This window comes from Homo sapiens, chromosome 17 (assembly GCF_000001405.40).
Source record: "Homo sapiens chromosome 17, GRCh38.p14 Primary Assembly".
Classification (NCBI taxonomy): Eukaryota; Metazoa; Chordata; class Mammalia; order Primates; family Hominidae; genus Homo; species Homo sapiens.
This window is the reverse complement of record NC_000017.11, coordinates 80,037,496-80,058,044: the sequence shown is the minus strand read 5'-3', so window position 1 is coordinate 80,058,044 and position 20,549 is coordinate 80,037,496. Positions and strand designations below refer to the sequence as shown.

The 20,549-nt window shown below is 48.0% G+C and overlaps 1 protein-coding gene across 3 annotated transcripts in view, besides 1 other annotated feature; it reads right to left on the bottom strand.

Annotated features, from left to right (window-relative positions):
* Positions 1 to 20,549, bottom strand: part of CCDC40 (coiled-coil domain 40 molecular ruler complex subunit) — a 63,972-nt gene that overhangs the window by 42,569 nt on the left and 854 nt on the right. For all 3 annotated transcript variants that reach the window (NM_017950.4, NM_001243342.2, NM_001330508.2), the window contains exons 2-7: positions 19,859 to 19,922; positions 17,775 to 18,233; positions 10,643 to 10,766; positions 9,284 to 9,462; positions 8,056 to 8,139; positions 7,762 to 7,981 (exon numbers count right to left, since the gene is read on the bottom strand). In NM_017950.4, coding sequence (NP_060420.2) covers positions 7,762 to 7,981; positions 8,056 to 8,139; positions 9,284 to 9,462; positions 10,643 to 10,766; positions 17,775 to 18,233; positions 19,859 to 19,922 — 1,130 coding nt within the window. The remainder of the gene's footprint in view (positions 1 to 7,761; positions 7,982 to 8,055; positions 8,140 to 9,283; positions 9,463 to 10,642; positions 10,767 to 17,774; positions 18,234 to 19,858; positions 19,923 to 20,549) is intronic.
* Positions 12,880 to 13,381: an enhancer, noted in NCBI's record as "H3K4me1 hESC enhancer chr17:78018463-78018964 (GRCh37/hg19 assembly coordinates)". NCBI's record gives its function as "activates a minimal SCP1, AML or CMV promoter by ChIP-STARR-seq in naive H9 embryonic stem cells {active_cell/tissue: H9 hESC(naive)}" and the evidence as "EXISTENCE:reporter gene assay evidence [ECO:0000049][PMID:30033119]".

The window sequence follows — 20,549 nt, the reverse complement described above, 5'->3', positions numbered from 1 at the left end:
GCTGCACAGCAGTGCAGGCCAGAGAGGACGAGGCTAGAAGAGGCAGCAGCTTCCATCCTGTCCCAAGTTAAGTGACAGATTTATGTCAGTGCTCTCAGAGGAGGCCAAGGCCCGAGGAACTGATTCCTTTAACAAAACTTGCATGAGATGGATTTCTTTTTTTTTTTTTGAGACGAAATCTCGCTCTGTCGCCCAGGCTGGAGTGCAGTGGCGCGATCTCGACTCACTGCAAGCTCCGCCCCCAGGGTTCACGCCATTCTCCTGCCTCAGCCTCCCGAGTAGCTGGGACTACAGGCGCCCGCCACCACGCCCGGCTAATTTTTTGTATTTTTAGTAGAGACGGGGTTTCACCATGTTAGCCAGGATAATCTCCATCTCCTAACCTCCTGATCCACCCACCTTGGCCTCCCAAAGTGCTGGGATTACAGGCATGAGCCACCGCGCCCGGCCATGAGATGGATTTCTAAAGCTGGAGTGCAAATTTATTGAGGGAGCTACACGTGGGTCAGTACTTGCTTGCTCACTGCACAGAGCACTCCCTTTCAGTGGCTGGATCCAAACAGAAAACTGAATTACAGGCCAAAAGGCTGCTGGACGCATATCATCCTGGAGCCAGGTGTGCTCGAAGGATACAGCTTAAACTTGCAAAGCCATTTTGGCTGGGTGTGGTGGCTCACGCCTGTAACCCCAGCACTTTGAGAGGCCGAGGTGGGCGGATCACTTGAGGCCAGGAGTTCAAGACCAGTCTAGCCAACATGGTGAAACCCTGTCTCTACTCAAAATACAAAAATTAACAGGATGTGTTGGTGCACGTCCGTAATCCCAACTACTCAGGAGGCTGAGGTGGGAGGATCATGCCACTGCACTACAGCCTGGGTGACAAAGTGAGACTCTGTCTCAAAAAAAAAGCAACCTGTGCATTAATATAGCTTGCAGTAGCTAAATTCCAAAGTAATTTCCTCTAAGTTCTCTTTGAGGACTTGCTATTCTTCTTTTTTTTTTTTTTGAGACAGAGTCTCACTCTGTCGCCCAGGCTGGAGTGCAGTGGTGATCTCGGCTCACTGCAAGCTCTGCGTCCCGGGTTCACGCCATTCTTCTGCCTCAGTCTCCTGAGTAGCTGGGACCACAGGTGCCCGCCACCACGCCCGAGTAATTGTATTTTTTTTTTTAGTAGAGATGGGGTTTCACCATGTTAGCCAGGATGGTCTCGATCTCCTGACCTTGTGATCCGCTTGCCTCGGCCTCCCAAAGTGCTGGGATTACAGGCGTGAGCCACCAGGCCTGGCTAAGGACTTGTTATTATTCTTAAATATTTCTTTCATTATCCTTCCTTTTCAAAATTGTCTTGGATATTTTTGTGCATTTAGTCTTCTAAATGAACTTTAAAATCAATTTGTTGAGAATAAAGTGTTGTTGTTCTTGTTGTTTTCTGAGACAGGGTGTCACTTTGTCACCCAGGCTGGAGTGCAGTCGCACAATCATAGCTCACCGCAGCTTCAACCTCCTGGGTTCACCTCAGCCCCCCAAGTAGCTGGGACTCCAGGCACATGCCACCATGCCCGGCCAATTTCTCATTTTTGTATTTTTTGTAGAGATGGGGTTTTGCCGCATTGCCCAGGCTGGTCTTGAACTCCTGAGCTCAAACGATCTGCCAGCCTCAGCCTCCCAAAGTGTCAACACTACAGGCGTGAGCCTCCGCACCTGGCCCGAGGTGCTTTTTGTTTTGAGGTGGAATATCCGCAGCACGTGTTGCTAAGGGACAGCAAGCGAGGAACCGAGCAGTGGGTATAATATGCAGCCATTTAAGTTAAAGAGAGAGAGAGAGATACACATACACACACACCCTTGTGACTTTGCTTAGATATGCAAAAAATCTCCAAAAGACTCCACAAGGGCTGAACACAGTGGCTTATGCCTGTAATCCCAGGACTTTGGGAGGCCGAAGCAAGAGGATCACTTGAGCCCAGGAATTGGAGACCAGCCTGGGCAACACAGTAAGACCCTGTTTCTACCAAAAAAAAAAAAAAATATATATATATATATATATATATATATATATATATGAAAATTAGCCAGGCCTGGTGGTGTGTGTGTAGTCCCAGCTACTTGGGAAGCTGAGGTGTGAGGATCACTTAAGGCTGGGAGTTCGAGGCTACTCTGCCATTGCATTCCAGCCTGGGAAACAGAGCAAGATGCGTCTCGCTGTCTCGAAGAAAACAAAAACAAAAAGAATCCACAAGAATCTACGTTGCCTCTGCGGAGGGCCCTGGTGGCTGGGTGGGGGAAGGGGAAAAGAGACGAAAACTTCCTCTTAGTTGTAGAGCTCTTGCATTTTGAATCATTACTTTTCCAAAATAAGTAAATAATTATGTTGAATAAATTTAAGTTCACCCAAAACATCTCACCACGGAGGGTAACGGGAATTGCAATGGTTTTATTGCTAATTTGGAGGGAAATGGCATTTTTATATCATGCGTCTTCCCAGCTGGTAACGTGGGCACTCCATTTATTTAAATCTGTTTTATGACCTTTCATAACATTTATTGTTTTTTTTCAGACAGGCTCATCATTCCTTGTTGGATTTCTTCCTGGACTTATTTAAAAGTTGTTATAGCTATTATGAATGAGCTTTTTTAAAAATTGTAATTCCTAACTATATTACTGGTGTAGAAGAAAACTACAGAGCTGGTATCCAGCTACTTTATTGATTTCTTACTGTTTCTATTGGCTTTTATTTTTCATTAGTAGAGGTTGAGAATTTCAGTATTTCATTCCCAGATCCATATCTCATTTCTTTCTCTTGTTTTCTTTGCGTTGCTGGAGCCTCCAAAACAGTCTGGGGTAACTGCTATGCTAGCAGGCCTCCTCATCTCATTCCTGATTTTAAGTCTAGTCTTTCCACTGGGTAACATTTTCTTGTTAGTTTCTGATAAATACTTAGAACTCTCCTTCTATCCTACTTTGGGATGGATGATGAGTTTTATTAAATACCCATTTGGCACCCACCCAGGAAGCCTTTTTTTTTTATCCTTGTATTTTGTTTTATTTGATTTATTTATTTTTTTTTTTTGAGACAGTGTCTCACTCTGTTGGCCAGGATGGAGTGCAGTGGCACAGTCTCGGCTCACTGCAACCTCTGTCTCCTGGGCTCAAGCAATTCTCCTGTCTCAACCTCCTGAGTAGCTGGGATTACAGGTGCCTGCCACCACACCTGGCTAATTTTTTGTACTTTTAGTAGAAACAGGGTTTCACCACGTTGGCCAGGCTGGTCTCGAACTCCTGACCTCAGGTAATCTGCCCGCCTCGGCCTCCCAAAGTGCTGGGATTACAGGCGTGAGCCACCACATCCGGCCTCCATTCTTTAATTTATAAATATAATGCACAAAATTAGTAGATTTCCTAATTGTGAATTATTCCTGTGTGAATTCTGGAAGTAAATCCTACTTATTTTTGCTAACATTTTGTTCAGGATTTTCACTCCTCACATGTGGGGCCGCTTTACAGTTTCCTGCTTGTATGCTGTCAGCGTTTGCAGCCAGCCTTTCACTAAGCATTGCAGGACCAGCCTGTGGGGAGTTTCCGGAATCTTCCATGCCCTGGAGCTTTGATAACACAGGAAGTGTTTGTTCCTTGAAAGGTTACTAGAAGCCTTCCATAACATCTTCCAATACTGGTGCATTTAGGGAAAACAGATTTTTGACATTTTCAATTTCTTGCATGATGAAACCAGTACAATGCATAGCTTTCTTGCAATTAAAAACAAAAAACAAAACAAAAAAAACCCTCCCCCAAGTTGTCCTCATTCCCAACACTGTTACTTGCATGATCTCCTTTTTATTGCCAGATAAGCCAGCAGTGTGTAAGGTTTATTGGTCATTTAAAAAAAAAGCAGTTTATTTATCAAGTCAATTCATTTTTTATTTATTTCATCAGCTTCTGCTTTTGATCTTTATTGGTTTATTTTTCTGCTTCTTTCAGTTTATTTCCCTCTTTTTAGCTTCTCGAATAGAATGTCTGTTTTCAGGCTTGTTTGTGGAAATGTAAATAAACTCTGTCATGGGTTTTGTCTGAGCAGATTTGGCTGCAGCCAGAAGTCTTCATGCGTGGACTTCCCGTTGTTGTTAATTTCCAGAGTCTAACTGACATGTAGGTCAAATGCTAACCATCCTTCTCCCTTAGAATTCTGTATGCATTGGGAGGCCAAGGTGGGCGGATCACGAGGTCAGGGGTTCAAGACCAGCCTGACCAACATGGTGAAACCCCGTTATCTACAAAAATACAAAAATTAGCCAGGCATGGTGGCGGGCCCCTGTAGTCCCAGCTACTTGGGAGGCTGAAGCAGGAGAATCGCTTGAACCCGGGAGGTGGAGGTTGCAGTGAGCTGAGATCACGCCACTGCACTCCAGCCTGGGCGACAGAGAGAGACTCCATCTCAACAAACAAACAAACAAACAAAAAACACAAAAAAGAGAATTCTGAATTCTGTATGCATTGACATCCTGCTATTTAAATTTAAGATCTGTGATTCTCAGCCCTGGCTGCAAGTTAGCATCATCTGGAAGCTTAAGGGTCAAAAAGAAAGCCAGAAACAAACAATGCCTGGTCCTTCCCAGAACAAACCAATCTGAAATCTGGGCTGGGATAGGTCCTGGTGGTTTTGAGCTCTCCCTGGTTCCTCCAAGGCGCAGCTGATGGAGGCCTTGATGAAAGCGTAGCCCAGGCCCGGCCTCAAGAGGCCATCTGGGTTTTCCCGCCTGGAAGCCTGCAGCATTTTTTCTTTTGCCGTGGTATTTGGAAATCCCACCAGCTATGTCTGCGGAGGTTTATTTTCTCTTTCAGCTGCATGGCCCGTCACGAGTCTTTCTATCTGCAGATTCGTCTTTCCTGAACTCACGCATCTGTTCTCCTGGACATTGGCTATTGCCTCTCATCTCCTGAAATCTCCCTTTCGGACACTGATTCGATTTCCCTAATCTGTCGTCCATGTCTTTTACCTCCTCCTCAAGATATCAATCATTTGGGGTTTTGCTCTATTTCCAGGGAAGGTTCCTCGAACTGGCTTTTTAGTTAAGAAATTCAGTTTTCAACTGCATTCATTTGTCTAGTTAGTGCCTTTTGGGGGGATGATGATTATATTTTTAAATTTCACGTACCCCTTTTCCTAACACTTTGTTCTCTTTATGGATGCAATGTCCTCTAAAATCTCATGAGACTACCAGTTGGCGCCTCTGCACACTCTGGGATGATGATTATATTTTTAAATTTCACGTACCCCTCTTCCTAACACTTTGTTCTCTTTACGGATACAACGTCCTCTAAAATCTCATGAGACTACCAGTTGGTGCCTCCGCATGCTCTGTTTTTAGAATCAGGGCTGGGTTTGCCTGTCTGTCCGGCTCAGTCTCCTCTCAGGTCTGGGGATCTCGGGTTGGTAACTCATTTTGGTGTGAAGGTTTAGTGTCGGTGATGGTTAATACTGAGTGTCAACTTGATTGGATTGAAGGATACAAAGTATTGATCCTGGGTGTGTCTGTGAGGGTGTTGCCAAAGGAGATTAACATTTGAGTCAGTGGCCTGGGAAAAGGCAGACCCACCCCCAATCTGGGTGGGCACCATCTCATCAGCTGACAGTGCGGCTAGAGTGTAAGCAGGCAGAAAAATGTGAAAAGAGAGACTGGTGTAGCCTCCCAGCCTACATCTTTCTCCTGTGCTGGATGCTTCCTGCCCTTGAACACTGGACTCCAGGTTCTTCATTTTTGGAACTCAGACCGGCTCTCCTTGCTCCTCAGCCTGCAGACGGCCTATTGTGGGACCTTGTGATCCTGTGTCAATACTGAATAAACTCTCCTTTCTCTATATATCTATCCTGTTAGTTCTGTCCCTCTAGACAACCCTAATACAGTCTCCCTCCCAGATGAGGCAGGTGACCGTGGGCTTTCTCCAGGGGCCAGGACCCACGTCTCACCTAAGGGACTGTGCAGTGGTGGCTGCCCCCCGGTCAGGGCCGGGACCGTTGCCCAAATTCTTCAGTTCTGAGAAGGCAGAGACGGTGCTGTTTGACGCAGGCCTTGCTGGGTTGAAGAGCCTCGGCTCTGGCCCTCTCCTAATCTCCAGGAAGCAGAGTCCACCAGAGTGTTTGGATCTTTTTGGAATCCCACCCACTCTTTAAGCCCTAGCAGAGGGGAGCCGGAGGGCGCTCCACACCAGCTCCACGGCTCCAGCCTCACTGCAGGTGTGGGGAGCAGTTAGGGGCACGCGTCCTCCTTCAGGTGGGTGTAAATTTGGTTACTTCTGGAGGATGTGGCTCTTTCAGTTCAGTGTGGATGTCACTTTCTTTCCTTTTACTGTTTTCTGTTCATTTGATGCTAACTGGAGAGAGGTTCTTTTTTCTTTTTTTTTTTTTTTTTTTTTTTTTTGAGACGGAGTCTCGCTCTGTCGCCCAGGCTGGAGTGCAGTGGCGGGATCTCGGCTCACTGCAAGCTCCGACTCCCAGGTTCACGCCATTCTCCTGCCTCAGCCTCCCAAGTAGCTGGGACTACAGGCGCCCGCCACTACGCCCGGCTAATTTTTTGTATTTTTAGTAGAGACGGGGTTTCACCGTTTTAGCCGGGATGGTCTCGATCTCCTGACCTCGTGATCCGCCCGCCTCGGCCTCCCAAAGTGCTAGGATTACAGGCGTGAGCCACTGCGCCCAGCCAAGAGAGGTGCTTGATAAGTGCCCACTTACCCTAACTCTGAAATTTCCAGAACCTCTTCCACTTTTCTCAGGGTTTAAAATGTTTCTTTCCAGAACAGCTGGGATAGCCATGTGCTTCTGTTTTCCTCCAGGTTTGTGTAGGTCATTTCCCCATTATAAGAGTAATACACAGTTGATTGAGAAAGTTGAAAACATCAAAAAGCATAAAGACTGAAATACTCCGTAGTCACAAGAGGAAGCCACTGTCCCCGGTCACCTACATGACCAGCTCTGTGCAAGGACGTTGCTTTATCGGTAATGTTGCATAGCACGTGCTGTAGCCCCCACTGTCTCATCTGATTCAAAGCTACCCACTGACCTGCCGCACACATCCTACGGCGGTCAGGCCCTGGGCCATGGTCTGACCGTCGTGCCGGCCTCACCCTCGCATTCGCATCTATTGAAACCCTCCATCACCCCCGGTCTGCTCTCGCCTCCTGGTCTCATCTATCCTGGGACCTCTGCAGCTCACCCATCTCTCCCAGTTTTGAATCTCTACGCTCTGGCTGTTAGCAGCTTCAGCATTTGCTGCTTTGTCCTGACAGGTGCCATTTAACATATTTATAACCGGGTGCAGTGTCTCATGCCTGTAATCCCAGCATTTTGGGAGGCCGAGGCAGGCGAATCACCTGAGGTCAGGAGTTCGAGACCAGCCTGGCCAACATGGTGAAACCCCGTCTCTACTAAAAATACAAAAAATAGCCAGGCATGGTGGCAGGTGCCTGTAATACCAGCTACTTGGGAGGCTCAGCCAGGAGACTGGCTTGATCCCGGAAGGGGGAGGTTGCAGTGAGCCAAGATCGCGCCATTGCACTCCAGCCTGGGTGACAGAGTGAGACTCCATCTCAAAAAAACAACAACAAAAAGACATTTGATTTATGTGCCTTCCCCTCCTAAAAAGGGTGGGAACCCCTCCAGGATGCACACACATCTTACTTTTCTAGATGCCTGGCCATGGTACATGGAGACACCCCTGGGAAACCCTCCAGGACCGGATGGCGTGTGGGGCTGCCGGGTTGCCTTACACTTTTTGCGCTCCTCGTTGGCGGCTGCGCAGGTCTTGGTGTAGAGAGCGCGGGCGGCCTGCAGCTCCTCCTCCTTCTGCCTGCGCTCGCTCGAGGCCATTGCGTGGCGGTCGTGACTCTTCTCCAGCAGCTTCTGCAGGTGTACCAGGTGCTGCTGCACCTCATAGAGATTCACCCCCAGCTCCTGCCGCTGGGCTCGGCTCTGCTTGGTAGCCACAACCTGGACCAAAGAGAGAAACAGGGTCACCAGGACGCAGGCATCCGACCAGGGTGGGAGACTGGACGGATACACACCAGCTCTTGGAGGTCCAGCTTCAACTTTTCGATCTGTCGGTTCAGGTAGTTCTTCAGGGCAGCCTGGAATCTTACCATCAGGGGCTAGAACAATGGAAAACCACAGGTGGTTACCTTTCTGGTTACCCTCCTGCCCGACCCAGGGCTCAGCCCAGGTGGCCACAGGTCTCCCTCCGGTGGGCCAGAGACGACTTCCGTGTGGAGTGCTCCCTGCTTCTGCTTGGGATTCTTACTCTGGAAGCCACAAATTAAAGGCACCTCATGGTCTCATCTGAGGCACTTGCAGAGAACTGAGTGCATATTTTGGCAAAATGATGGTGAGCTGGGGCCAGAGGGTGGGGTGGAGCAGTGGTCTGGGGAGAGAACCTCCCTGTGCAGCCCCCAGCTCCTTCCGGCAGTTCCTGGAGCTCTGCAGCTGTCCTGATGGGTAAATGAAATCAACATCTGCCTTTTCCCCTTGCCAGTGGGTGGGGCAGGGAGCTGCGATCCAATTGGTGCCCTCAAGGCAGTGGCTGCGAAGATGGGCCCCACACCGCCAACATTTGGCAATGACTGGAGACATTTTTTTTTTTTTTTTTTTGAGACAGAGTTTCGCTCTTATTGCCCAGGCTGGAGTGCACTGGTGCCATCTTGGCTGTCTGCATGCAACCTCCGCCTCTTGGGTTTAAGCGATTCTCCTGCCTCAGCCTCCTGAGTAACAGGGATTACAGGTGCTCACCACCATGCCCAGCTAATTTTTTTTTTTTTTTGTATTTTTAGTAGAGATGGGGTTTCACCATGTTGGCCAGGCTGGTCTCGAACTCCTGACCTCAGGTGATCCACAGACCTTGGCCTCCCAAAGTGCTGGGATTACAGGCATGAGCTACCACGTCCAGCCTGGAGACATTTTTGATGATCACAACCAAGGCGGGGGGGTGGTGCTCCTGGCATGTAGCAGGGGGAGCTCGGGGATGCTGTTCCACACCATGCAAGGCACAGCACAGAATGACCCGGCCCCACGGGGCAGTGGTTCCGGGGTTGAGAAACACAGGCCTCACCTATACCAACCTCAGAGGAGAGTACCCTACGAAGAGGCAGGTCAATCAGTGCCAATAAACGGTGCAGTGAACAGGCGAGATACAAGTACAGCATTTAGGGTCAGGAGTGGGAGACAGTGCAGGCAGAGAAAGGGGCCTGAGTCATTCGCCATCCATGTAGGCAAAAGCAAAACCTGGGAAGGCTTCCTTACGTGGTCTGGGTCCAAAACCACCAGCTGGGACCCTTCGTCTTCTGCTTCCTCGTCACTCCCCTCGGACTCCACTCTCTCTGCCATGGCCCCCTCCTCGGTGCTGGGCTGCTGGATCTGGTCCTGGAACACTGGCAGGTCTCCTTCCCTGGGGTGGGCATCGGGCACCCCTGGGGGGATCACTGGGGGGAGAGACAGCGACACCATTGAGGAGCTGCTGGAGAGAAGCCTCAGTGATTCTATTCTGGGGCATCAATGGCACAGCTGCTGTCATGCCTCATGCAGCATGATGGGAAAGTGACAGCAAAAGCATCCCAACGGTCTGTGGGTCAGAAACATCATTCACCCCATCTTCTATTCCCTGACTCAATGCATCCCAGAGAAAGCGTCCCGTTTTAAAGGTAGGCAGGAAGGAAATTATTTTTGAGAGGCTTTCTTTACACATAAAGAGTGAACAGAAAGGTGGCCACTTAACTAGTGGATTGGATACAATATTTTTTATCCCCAGACAGAGTCTTGCTCTGTTGCCCAGGCTGGAGTGCAGTGGCGTGATCTCGGCTCACTGCAACCTCCACCTCCGGGGTTCAAGCGATTCTCCTGCCTCAGCCTCCCGAGCAGCTGGGGATTACAGGCACCCGCCACCACGCCCGGTAATTTTTGTATTTTTAGTAGAGACAGGGGTTTCACCATGTTGGCCAGACTGGTCTCGAACACCTGACCTCAGGTGATCCACCGGCCTTGGCTGGGATTCCAGGCGTGAGCCACCGCGCCCGGCTTGTTTTTTTACTAATTTAGACACGTGCTGTTTTCATGTCATTTGCAAGTAATGAAAGGTTTGGACCGGCTGCAGGTCGGTACCACAGGGAATTTGCAACTGCCTGATCTGCCCTCCCACGTCCACAACACTGGGATACTGGGACTACGTAAGAAGACAGGGGTTCTGGAAAGCCTTTGAAAGCCAGCAGACAGATTCAGGCCTGGGGTTGCTGTCACGGCACGTCTCGCTCTGAGACCAGGAGCCCGTGAGAAATGGCTGTCAGGGGATGGGGCTGGGCGTCACTGAATCTTGGTGAAGGCCGCGTTCTGTCACTTAATCGGACCAGTTCCTTAATGGCCTTAGGGAACCTGTCTGTTAAATGGAGAAGGATTCCTACTTCATCGGTCACTGTTAGGATTAAATGAGATAAAACAGTAAATGCCCAATAAATGTTATCCATATCTGTTAATAAGATTTTTCTCTTTCAGCTCACAGCCACTCAGGAAACAGGTAACGGATGACAAACGAGTGGCATCCCTTGCACAGAAGGGCCTGTGCAGGTGGCTCATCGCCAGGGCAGGGTGACCTCAGCAGGTGGGTGGCACCTGGCTCCTGCGAGACGAACTCCTCCAGGTCTGAGGACTCGATGTCGCTCCCGTGGCTCAGCCGGAAGCGGTGCTGGACGCCCATTGGGAGCACCTGCCCCTGGGGCTCCTCTGTGGATCCTGTCTATGGCAAGAACAACCAAAACTAAGTCAACAGGGCTTAATTGCCACTGAGAAGTTATTCAATTTTAACTCATTACATTTGTGAAAGTTGTCAGACTCAAAATATAGTCACCTGTGTGTTTTTTAAAAAACCTGGCCGGGCACGTGGCTCATGCCTGTAACTCCCAGCACTTTGGGAGGCCAAGGCGGGTGGATCGCTTGAGGCCAGGAGTTCGAGACCAGCCTGGCCAACATGGCGAAACCCCGTCTCTACCAGAAATACAAAAATTAGCTGGGTGCGGTGGCGGGCACCTGTAATCCCAGCTACTTGGGAGGCTGAGGAGGGAGAATTGCTTGAACCCGGGAGGCAGAGGTTGCAGTGAGCAGAGATCACAGCACTGCACTCCAGCCTGGGCAACAGAGCAAGACCCCTTCTCAAAAATAAATAAATAAATAAAGTTAAAATCGAGCCAGGTGTTTTTATGAAGGGAAGACATTTTCTTATTGAAATTTCCCTAAAGGGGGCTGGTTTGAAAGGAGAGAAGAGGAAACAGTCCTCTTGGGAGACCCTGGCCAGGAGCCGAGGCTTTTCCGCATGCTTTCATGAAGAGGGTGCTCAGAGTTGTGGTTTCCCATCCTCGAGGCGCTCAGCATGTGGGAGCAAAAGATCCCAGGACCCATGCATTCTCGTGCCTGGGTGTTTACACTTAGCTACAGATGCAGACACGCAGAAACCACTCTTTTATTATTATTATTATTATTATTATTGAGTAAGGGTCTCACTCTGCCACCTAGACTGGCGTGCAGTGCTGCAATCATAGCTCACTGCAACCCCCAACTTCTGGGCTCCGGTGATCCTCCCTCCTTAGCCTCCAGAGTAGCTGGGATTACAGGTGCACACCACCACACTGGTCTAATTTTTTAATATTTTACTTAGAGGTAGGGTCTTGCTATGATTCCTAGGCTGGTCTCAAATTCCTGGCCTCATTCAGCCTTTCCGCTTTGGCCTCCCAAAGTGCTGGGATTACAGGTGTGAGCTGGGGGAACCACTTCTGAATTCCCTGGGCGGGGGAGAGTTAGATGTTTTCCATTTTGGACATTTGCAAAAGTCAAATGATGATTTTTATATCCAAGTGATTTCCTATTACTTTAACAATCATGTTAAATTTTGAGCAATGTATCATCCTAAATAACAAACAGAGAGAGGTTCTGTAAAGGAAAATGACATTTATTTGGGGATAGGGCATTGCAATGGGAATACGGGTGTCATAGTAAATTATGTTTGTATTTGGGGAGGTAAAGGAAGATGAAAGTTGACACAGGAAAAATGAGGAGGATTACATAATTGTTTTGCGATAATTCTCCTTGGCTGTAAGGATCAATAACAGGGTGGCATCAGTCCAAGTTTCGACAGGCAGTTGCTGGCAGCTGTCCTAGCAGAAGTGTTTTTTTTTTTTTTGAAAGGTTATGATGATCTTTGTGCAACATTGTGGGGTTTGCAGAGTCTTTTGTGATAGTTTTTGTTATGAGAAGCCCTCCCCTTAATGCCTTTCCCCAGCTCTGTTTTTCAGCGTTTTTTGTAGTTGTTGTTGTTTTTGAGATGGACTCTCGCTCTGTCGCCCAGGCTGGAGTGCAGTGGCACCATCTCGGCTCACTGCAAACTCCGCCTCCTGGGTTCAAGTGATTCTCTTGCCTCAGCCTCCTGAGTAGCTGGGATTACAGGCACCTGCCACCACACCTGGCTAATTTTTGCACTTTTAGTAGAGACGGGGTTTTGCCATGTTACCCAGGCCGGTCTCGAACTCCTGACCTCAAGTGATCCACCCGCCTCGGCCTCGCAAAGTGTTGGGATTACAGCCACTGTGCCCGGCATCCATTTTAGCTTTAAAAGAGACTTTTGCAGTTACGACTATTGACAATAATTATCGCTGATGATGAACTCTTGGATATTAGTAACCCAGACAATGAGTCAGGGTTTTGCTGCCCATAAACAACACATTGTTACAAAGCTCATCTCATGCCACCCTCGCCATAACCCCACAAGTCAGGTTCTAGTCATTTCTGTTCTCCATAGTAAAGCAGCCACATGGAGGCTGAAGGGCTTGCCCCAGTTTGCACGGGCAGCCCCAGGTATGTTCGGCGCCGGCTGTCTCTGTCTCCAGCCCATGCACCGTCTCACGGCACTTCCGCAGATGGTGTTGACTCTGGAAGTTATTTCTGAGGCATCTGGAGCCACAACAACATTAACGGGAGCCCAGGGTCAAAACCCATCTCCAGGGTGCGCAGCAGTGGCTTCTCCTAATGAGAGGTTTCCGGGTGTCCGTGTGCACAACTGGACACAAGCTCCACTCACACTGTCCCAAAGACTGAGAGCCAGTGGGAGGTGGGAAGCAAGGCTCGCTCAGGGGCTGTCCCTGCCCTTTCTTCAATCATATTTGAAAACTACTTCCCAGTGTATTTTCTAGAAACTAGGCCCAAGGATGAAAATCGGGTTTACAGAGCAACAAGTGACCTAGACTTCACTTAAACAAAGGTGAAGACACTGGTTTTGCTGTTGTTGAGATATATATATATATATATATATTTTTTTTTTTGTTTGTTTGTTTTGTTTTGTTTTTGAGATGGGGTCTCGCTCTGTCTCCCAGGCTGGAGTGCAGTGGCATGATCTTGGCTCATGCAATCTCTGACTCCCAAGCTCAAGCGATTCTTGTGCCTCAGCCTCCTAAGTAGCTGGGACTACAGGTGTGCACCAACACACCCGGCTAATTTTTGTATTTTTAGTAGAGATGGGGTCTCGCCATGTTGGTTAAGCTGGTCTCGAACTCCTGGCCTCAAGTGATCCGCCTGCATCGGCCTCCCAAAGTGCTGGGATCACAGCCATGAGCCACTAGGCCTGGCCTGTTGTTGTTGATAAATTCTTAAAATAAGATTTTGGTTTTGGTTTTATATTTGTCACTTGTGATCATAAAACTTAATTAGGGCTCACCAAATACTGAATCATGCTGTTCTCCAAAGTGACTTTTAGAAACTCTTTCGGGTTTCCCAGGGTAGGGGAGTAGGAGGGATGGGTGCCTTGTGGTTCAGAACGGTGGCTTTGAAGCAAGAGCTACCGTTTGCCGCAACAGCTGGGTGACTATGCAATGACCTTGCACCTCTCAGTTTCCTCATCTGTACAATGGGCACAATCATAGTTCCTACCTCGTAGGGTTGTCAGGATTCTAAGACAACACAGAACAGTGTCTATCCCATAGTCAGTGCTAAGAAGTATAAAGCATCCTCTTTCCCTGCCTCCCTTCCATACTCCCATCTCCCCTCGCAGAACAATTGAAACCTAAGGTATGCTGGGAGTAGGGGGCAGCCAAGGCAGTAAAAGTGGGAGACAGGTTACATCCAGGAGGATTGACCACATCAGTGAATACAGTAAGGATCATGGGGCCAGGCTTCTCCCTGTTGGAGAAAGGAGCTACAAATATGGAAGAGGAGGCCGGGCGTGGTGGCTCATGCCTGTAATCCCAGCACTTTGGGAGGTTGAGGAGGGAGGATTGACTGAGCCCAGGAGTTCGAGACCAGCCTGGGTATCATGGTAAGACGCCCCCTTGTACAAAAAATACAAAAATTAGCCGGGCGTGATGGTGAGTGCTTGCAGTCCCAGCTACCTGGGCAAGACTCTGTTTCAAAAAAAAAAAAAAAAAAAAGGAAGAGGAGAAAACCAGGAGGGACTCCTTATGGAGGTGAGATGGAATTAGAGGTTCTGTTGTGAGCCAAGGCCGGCCGCAGGGGTGTGAGCCAAGGCCGGCCGCAGGGGTGTGTTCCAATAAATATAGATGTGAGCGAATGTCTGTGTACATGGTGTATGTATAAATGTGGGGGAAGTACGTACAGTACACGCACACAGGCCCTATCTCCTGCCGCTGAGAGGTCCTGGGGACAGTGACACCCCAGCATCAATGAGGACCCCAGCACCCAAGTGATAACTTCTAAATTCTATTTTCCACTAACAGAAACAGGGCTCCTGGAGAAATGTCTGATTCTAAGGCTGGGCAGTCTATGGCAGAAAGCAAGAAAGCCCTCAAAGAAGGATGGAGGTGCGTCCGATCACACAAAGGCTGGTTTAAATGGGCCCTCACTGGCCAAACTGAGCATCAAAATACATAATGACAGTAATGGGTTATAACCCAGTGAATCACATGGAGAGCCCTGAGTCTATGCAGATGTAAGAATATAAATAAACCAAGAGTTTAAAGAGGAACCGACATTCACATCACTCCAAAGTGGCTCCCTGTGTTTATCTCAGAATGCGGGGTTGCTTGAACATCTGAAAATCAATCAATGTAATCTACCAAATCAACTAACTAAAAAGGAAAATACAGTCTTCTTAACAGACACAGAAAAGGATTTGACAAAACCCAATACCCTTTTATGATTAAAAAAAAAAAAACAACCCAACAACATACAACAAACCGAGAATACAAGGGAACTTCCTTAACCTGATAAAGGGCATCTGCAACACCCACAGCAAACATGGCACTTTACAGTCAAAGACTGATGCTTTTCCTGTAAGATCAGGGCAAGACAAGAGGTCTGCTCTCACCGCTTCTATTCAACATGGTGCTGGCGGTTCTAGCCAATGCAATCAGGCAAGAAAAAGAAAGAAAAGGCATCTGGATGGGAAAGGAAGAAGTTAACTGTCTTTTTTCTCAGATGAGATGATTATCTTTGTGAAAAAGCCTACCGATTCTACAAACAAGCTAGTCTAACTAGTGAGGGACTTTAGCAACGTGGCAGAATATCAGGTGAGTATACAAAAACCAATTGTATTTCTATATGCTAGCCACAGACAATTGGAAACCATTTATAATGGCATCAAAAATGTGAAATACTGGGCAGGAGCGATGGCTCACACCTGTAATCCCAACACTTTGGGAAGCTGCGGCAGGCAGATCATTTGTGGGCAGGAGTTCGAGACCAGCCTGGCCAACATGGTGAAACCCCATCTCTACTAAAAATACCGAATTTTAGCCAGGTGTGGTGGTGTGTGCCTGTAGTCCCAGCTACTTGGGAGGCTGAGGCAGGAGAATTGCTTGAACCCGGGAGGCAGAGGTTGCTGTGAACCAAGATCATGCCACTGCACTCCAGCCTGGGTGACAGAGCGAGACTACATCTCAAAAAAAAGAGAAATACTTAGGGATAAATCTGCCAAAAGTTGTATAACACCTGTATACGTTTGTAAGCAAATATAAGAAGTCCTCAATAACTGGTTGGAATCTGTTGCAATTTTTTTCCCATTCTAAATAGTATTCGCCTTCCTATCTTAAACCAAAAAAGAAAAAAGCACCTTCCCACAAAATCTTCATTAAGTATAAAGGAGTAAAAGGTCGCTTCACAATGAAGAATCTTGGTGCTTTTAAATTTGGTGACAGAAGTGAACATCATCAGGAATGGTGGAAGCTGGAATCCTGCATCCCTGGTGGGACGCACTGAGAGCCCCACGTCGCTTCCGTGATAGTCCCACTAAAGCCTCATGACCCTAACCCCATCATGAGGAAACACGGGGCAAATCCAGGCTGAGGGGCGCTCTACAAGACAGCTGGCCTATGACCTTCACAAGGGTCAAGGTTGTCAAGGAAAGACTGAGGAGACTACAGAAATATGAGCACTCAAGGCAACATTTGATTCTGAACTGAATCTCTTTGCTACAAAAGACATCATTGGGACATTTGGTGAACCCTGAATGAGGCCTGAGCATTCCTTGGAAATGGAGCAAGGCAATTTCCAGAATTTTTTTTTTTTTTTGAGACAGAGTCTCGCTCTGTCGCCCATGCAGGAGTACAGGGGTGCGATCTCGGCTGACGGCAACCCCTGCCTCTCCAGTTCAAGTGATTCTCCTGCCTCAGCCTCCCGAGTAGCTGGGATTACAGGTGTGCACCACCACGTCCAGCTAATTTTTGTATTTTTAGTAGAGATGGGGTTTCACCATGTTGGCCAGGCTGGTATCGAACTCCTGGCCTCAAGTGATCCACCCGCCTTGGCCTCCCGAAGTGCTGGGATTACAGGCGTGCACCACCATGCCCGACCCAATTTCTAGATTTTGATGGTTGTGTCCCAGCTGTTTGTGGGAAACATACAGAAGCGTTCGAAGGCTTTGGTGACCAGATCCGCAACCCACTCTCCAGTGTTTAAGAAAATAAAAGATCCTTTTTATTGTACTCCATTTTTTTCTGTAACTTTGTGATTGTTTAAAGAAAATTGATGAAAAAATATAAGAACGCAGCTATTGTCATTGTTTTTATCTAGAACTGCACTATTCATTATGGCAGCCACTGGCAACAGGTGGCTATTTAAATGGAAATTAGAATCTTAAACAGTTAAAAGCTCCATTCCTCCAGCTCGCTAGTCACATTTGGAGAGCTCTCTGTAGCCACATGTGACTGATGGACCGTATTGGACAATGCTGCTCTGGAAGCCTGGGAACTTGGATGCCCTTACGTGGATGGCGGCTATGGAGGCCCCCAGCCTTGGGCTTGGGCAGACTGAAGCAGAGTCCAGGATCTCTCAGCATTTGACCGTGAATCCTGAGACCTAAGCTTGCTAAGAAATTTCTTTTCTTTTTTTTTTTTTTTTTGAGACAAGGTCTCACTCTGTTGCCCAGGCTATAGTGCAATGGTGGGATCTTGGCTCACTGCAGCCTCCGCCTCTCGGGTTCAAGCAATTCTCCCACCTCAGCCTCCTGAGTAGCTGGGATTACAGGCGTGCGCCACCACGCCTGCCTAATTTTTGCATATTTAGTAGAGACAGGATTTCACCACGTTGGCCAGGCTGGTCTCGAACTCCTGACCTCAGGTGACCCACCCACCTTCGCCTCCCAAAGTGCTGGGATTACAGGCGTGAGCCACCGCACCCAGCCTTGCTAAGACATTTCTAACAGGGATTGCAATTTGTATTTATAATGTATTCCCAAGTTCCTCACATAGGGTGACAAACCCCGTGGGCCGTGCGACACTGGCACAAAACAGAAGTCAGGGCTACTCACCAATCTGCCCACTGCTGGCCCAGAGGTGACCTGGCCCATTTGCTCCGACGGGCCTAAGACTCCGTGGGATGGCTCTGGGGAGGTGACCCTCCTTTCTCTGGATTCTGGTGGACCGGTGGCCTCTTGCTGGAAGCCTTGGAGACCAGCCTCCCCGCTAACACTATCGTATGCCTCCTCTCCAGGCAGTTCCTGAGGAGGACTGAAATACGGGTAAGTCGTATCTGCAGCACTGATTTGCCCTTCCGGGGATGAAGTTTCTGTATAGTAATATTCCTCTTCGCTTTCAGCATCTCCATAGGACACAGCCTCCTCTTCCCCTTCCACTGCTGCTTCCCCTTCTGTCTCCACCTCCCCCTCTTCAATTGCAGCTTCCGCTTGGGTTGTGACTTCCTCAGGATGCTCTGTGCTACCGACAGCTTCTTCACCTTTCTGGCCATCATCCTTCTCTGGTGGTGACACCTGTAAAGGTGTGGCAGGAAAAAAATCAGGAAACAAAGTATAAAGGACCTTGTGAGGTTTTATTCTTTATAGTGTAATTATATCAATGGGAAAACTGCATTTATACCCTTCTCAGCATCACTAAGAGATCATGTTTCACTTTGGGAGGCTGAGGCAGGCAGATCACGAGGTCAGGAGATTGAGACCATCCTGACCAACATGGTGAAACCCCGTCTCTACTAAAAATACAAAAATTAGCTGGGTATGGTGGTGCACACCTGTAATCCCAGCTACTTAGAAGGCTGGGGCAGGAGAATTGCTTAAACTCGGAAGGCAGAGGTTGCAGTGAGCTGAGATCGTGCCACTGAACTTCAGCCTGGAGACAGAGTGAGACTCTGTCTCAAAAAAAAAAAAAATCATGTTTCATGCTTCAGTTTATCTGTTCTTTCTTTTTTTATTTTTTTTTGTGACAGGGGCTCACTCTGCTGCCCAGGCTGGAGTGCGGTGGCGTGATCTCGGCTCACTGCAACTTCCACCTCCTGGGTTCAAGCGATTCTCCTGCTTCAGCCTCCCAAGTAGCTGGGACTACAGGTGTGTACCACCATGCCCAGTTAATTTTTCCATTTTTAGTAGGGATGGGGTTTCACCATGTTGGCCAGGCTGGTCTTGAATTCCTGGCCTCAAGAGATCCATCCGCCTCAGCCTCCCAAAGTGCCGGGACCACAGGCGTGAGCCACCATGCCTGGCCCTCTCTGCTTTTCATAATCATTTTTGCATCCTTTGTTACAGGAAATGAGTTCCGAAAAACTCAGGGCAACCCAAAGTTGGACATCCTTTGCATCCCTGACTAATCACTGACACTGTAGAATGGGGTAGGAAGAAAATGAGTCTCTCTTCAACTGAATTGAGTTTGTTCTGGTGCAAGATAATGTCATCATACAATATACTTGACCAAGTCCTAATTCTCTTTATTTATTTATTTTTAATTTAATTTTATTTATCTATTTTTTGAGATGGAGTCTCGCTCTGTCGCCAGGCTGAGTGCAGTGGCACAATCTCGGCTCACTGCAACCTCCATCTCCCAGGTTCAAGCCATTCTCCTGCCTCAGCCTCCCGAGTAGCTGGGACTACAGGCGTGAACCACCATGCCTGGCAAATTTTTGTATTTTTAGTAGAGACAGGGTTTCACCATGTTGGCCAGGATAGTCTCGATCTTTTGACCTCGTGATCTGCCTGCCTCGGCCTCCCAAAGTGCTGGAATTACAGGCGTGAGTCACCGTGCCCGGCCTATTTATTTATTTTTGAGATAGAGTTTCACTGGTCACCCAGGCTGGAGTGCAATGGTGTGATCTTGGCTCACTGCAACCTCTGTCTCCCGAGTTCAAGCCACTGTCCTGCCTCAGCCTCCCGAGTAGCTGGGACTACATGTGCGCACCACCACGCCCGGCTAATTTTTATATTTTTAGTAGAGATGGGGTTTTACCATGTTGGCCAGGCTTGTCTCAAACTCCTAACCTCATGTGATCCACCTGCCTTGGCCTCCCAAAGTGTTGGGATTACAGGCGTGAGCCACAGTGCCCGTACTCTGATTCTCTTTAATTCCTAGTAAATATAAGCCCGGAATAACTGCCCATAGGGAATTTTACCATGTGGCTTTCATTATTCCCTTCCTTCTCTCCCTCAGAAGCCGATCCATCTTCCGGATGGGACCTGGTTTTAGAGAAACAATTGAACAGTTTCAAGCAACAGCTTTCTTTTTCTTGGTCCTTATCCCCTCCTGAATTCTGCACATCTGTTTATTTACTTGTTACTTCTCTGCCACCCCCAGGCTGTTGTCACGTCTTTGTCCTGTTTGTCAGGAACCATAGCACTATATCATGCCTGTCAGGTGGCGGAGATGCCACAAAAGCAAAGCTCCATGAATGAATGAAAAATATAATTATTAAAACATCGAAGGAACAGCAGGATTAGATCACCCCAGAAAAGTCACCTCAAATATAACTTGTGTCTGGGACAAAACTGGGGAAAAGAAATACAACGTAGAGAAAGTAGCGCGATCAGAGTAAGTGTTCTGGGGACTCTGAGTTTCTCCACGATTTACGTAGCACAGGAATATATATATATATATATATATATGTATATCTTTTTTAAAAAATTAAAGATTCAAGCTATTTTTATCTGTCAAAGGAATATAGATATGTTCAAAGAGACAGACAGTGACAGTTCCCTGTGATCTTCCCTTTCCTTCCCAAGATAATCATTGATAACATTTAGGACCACATTCTTTCAACATTTTTCTATGTTTTAAACACACACACACACCCTGAATTAGAGATC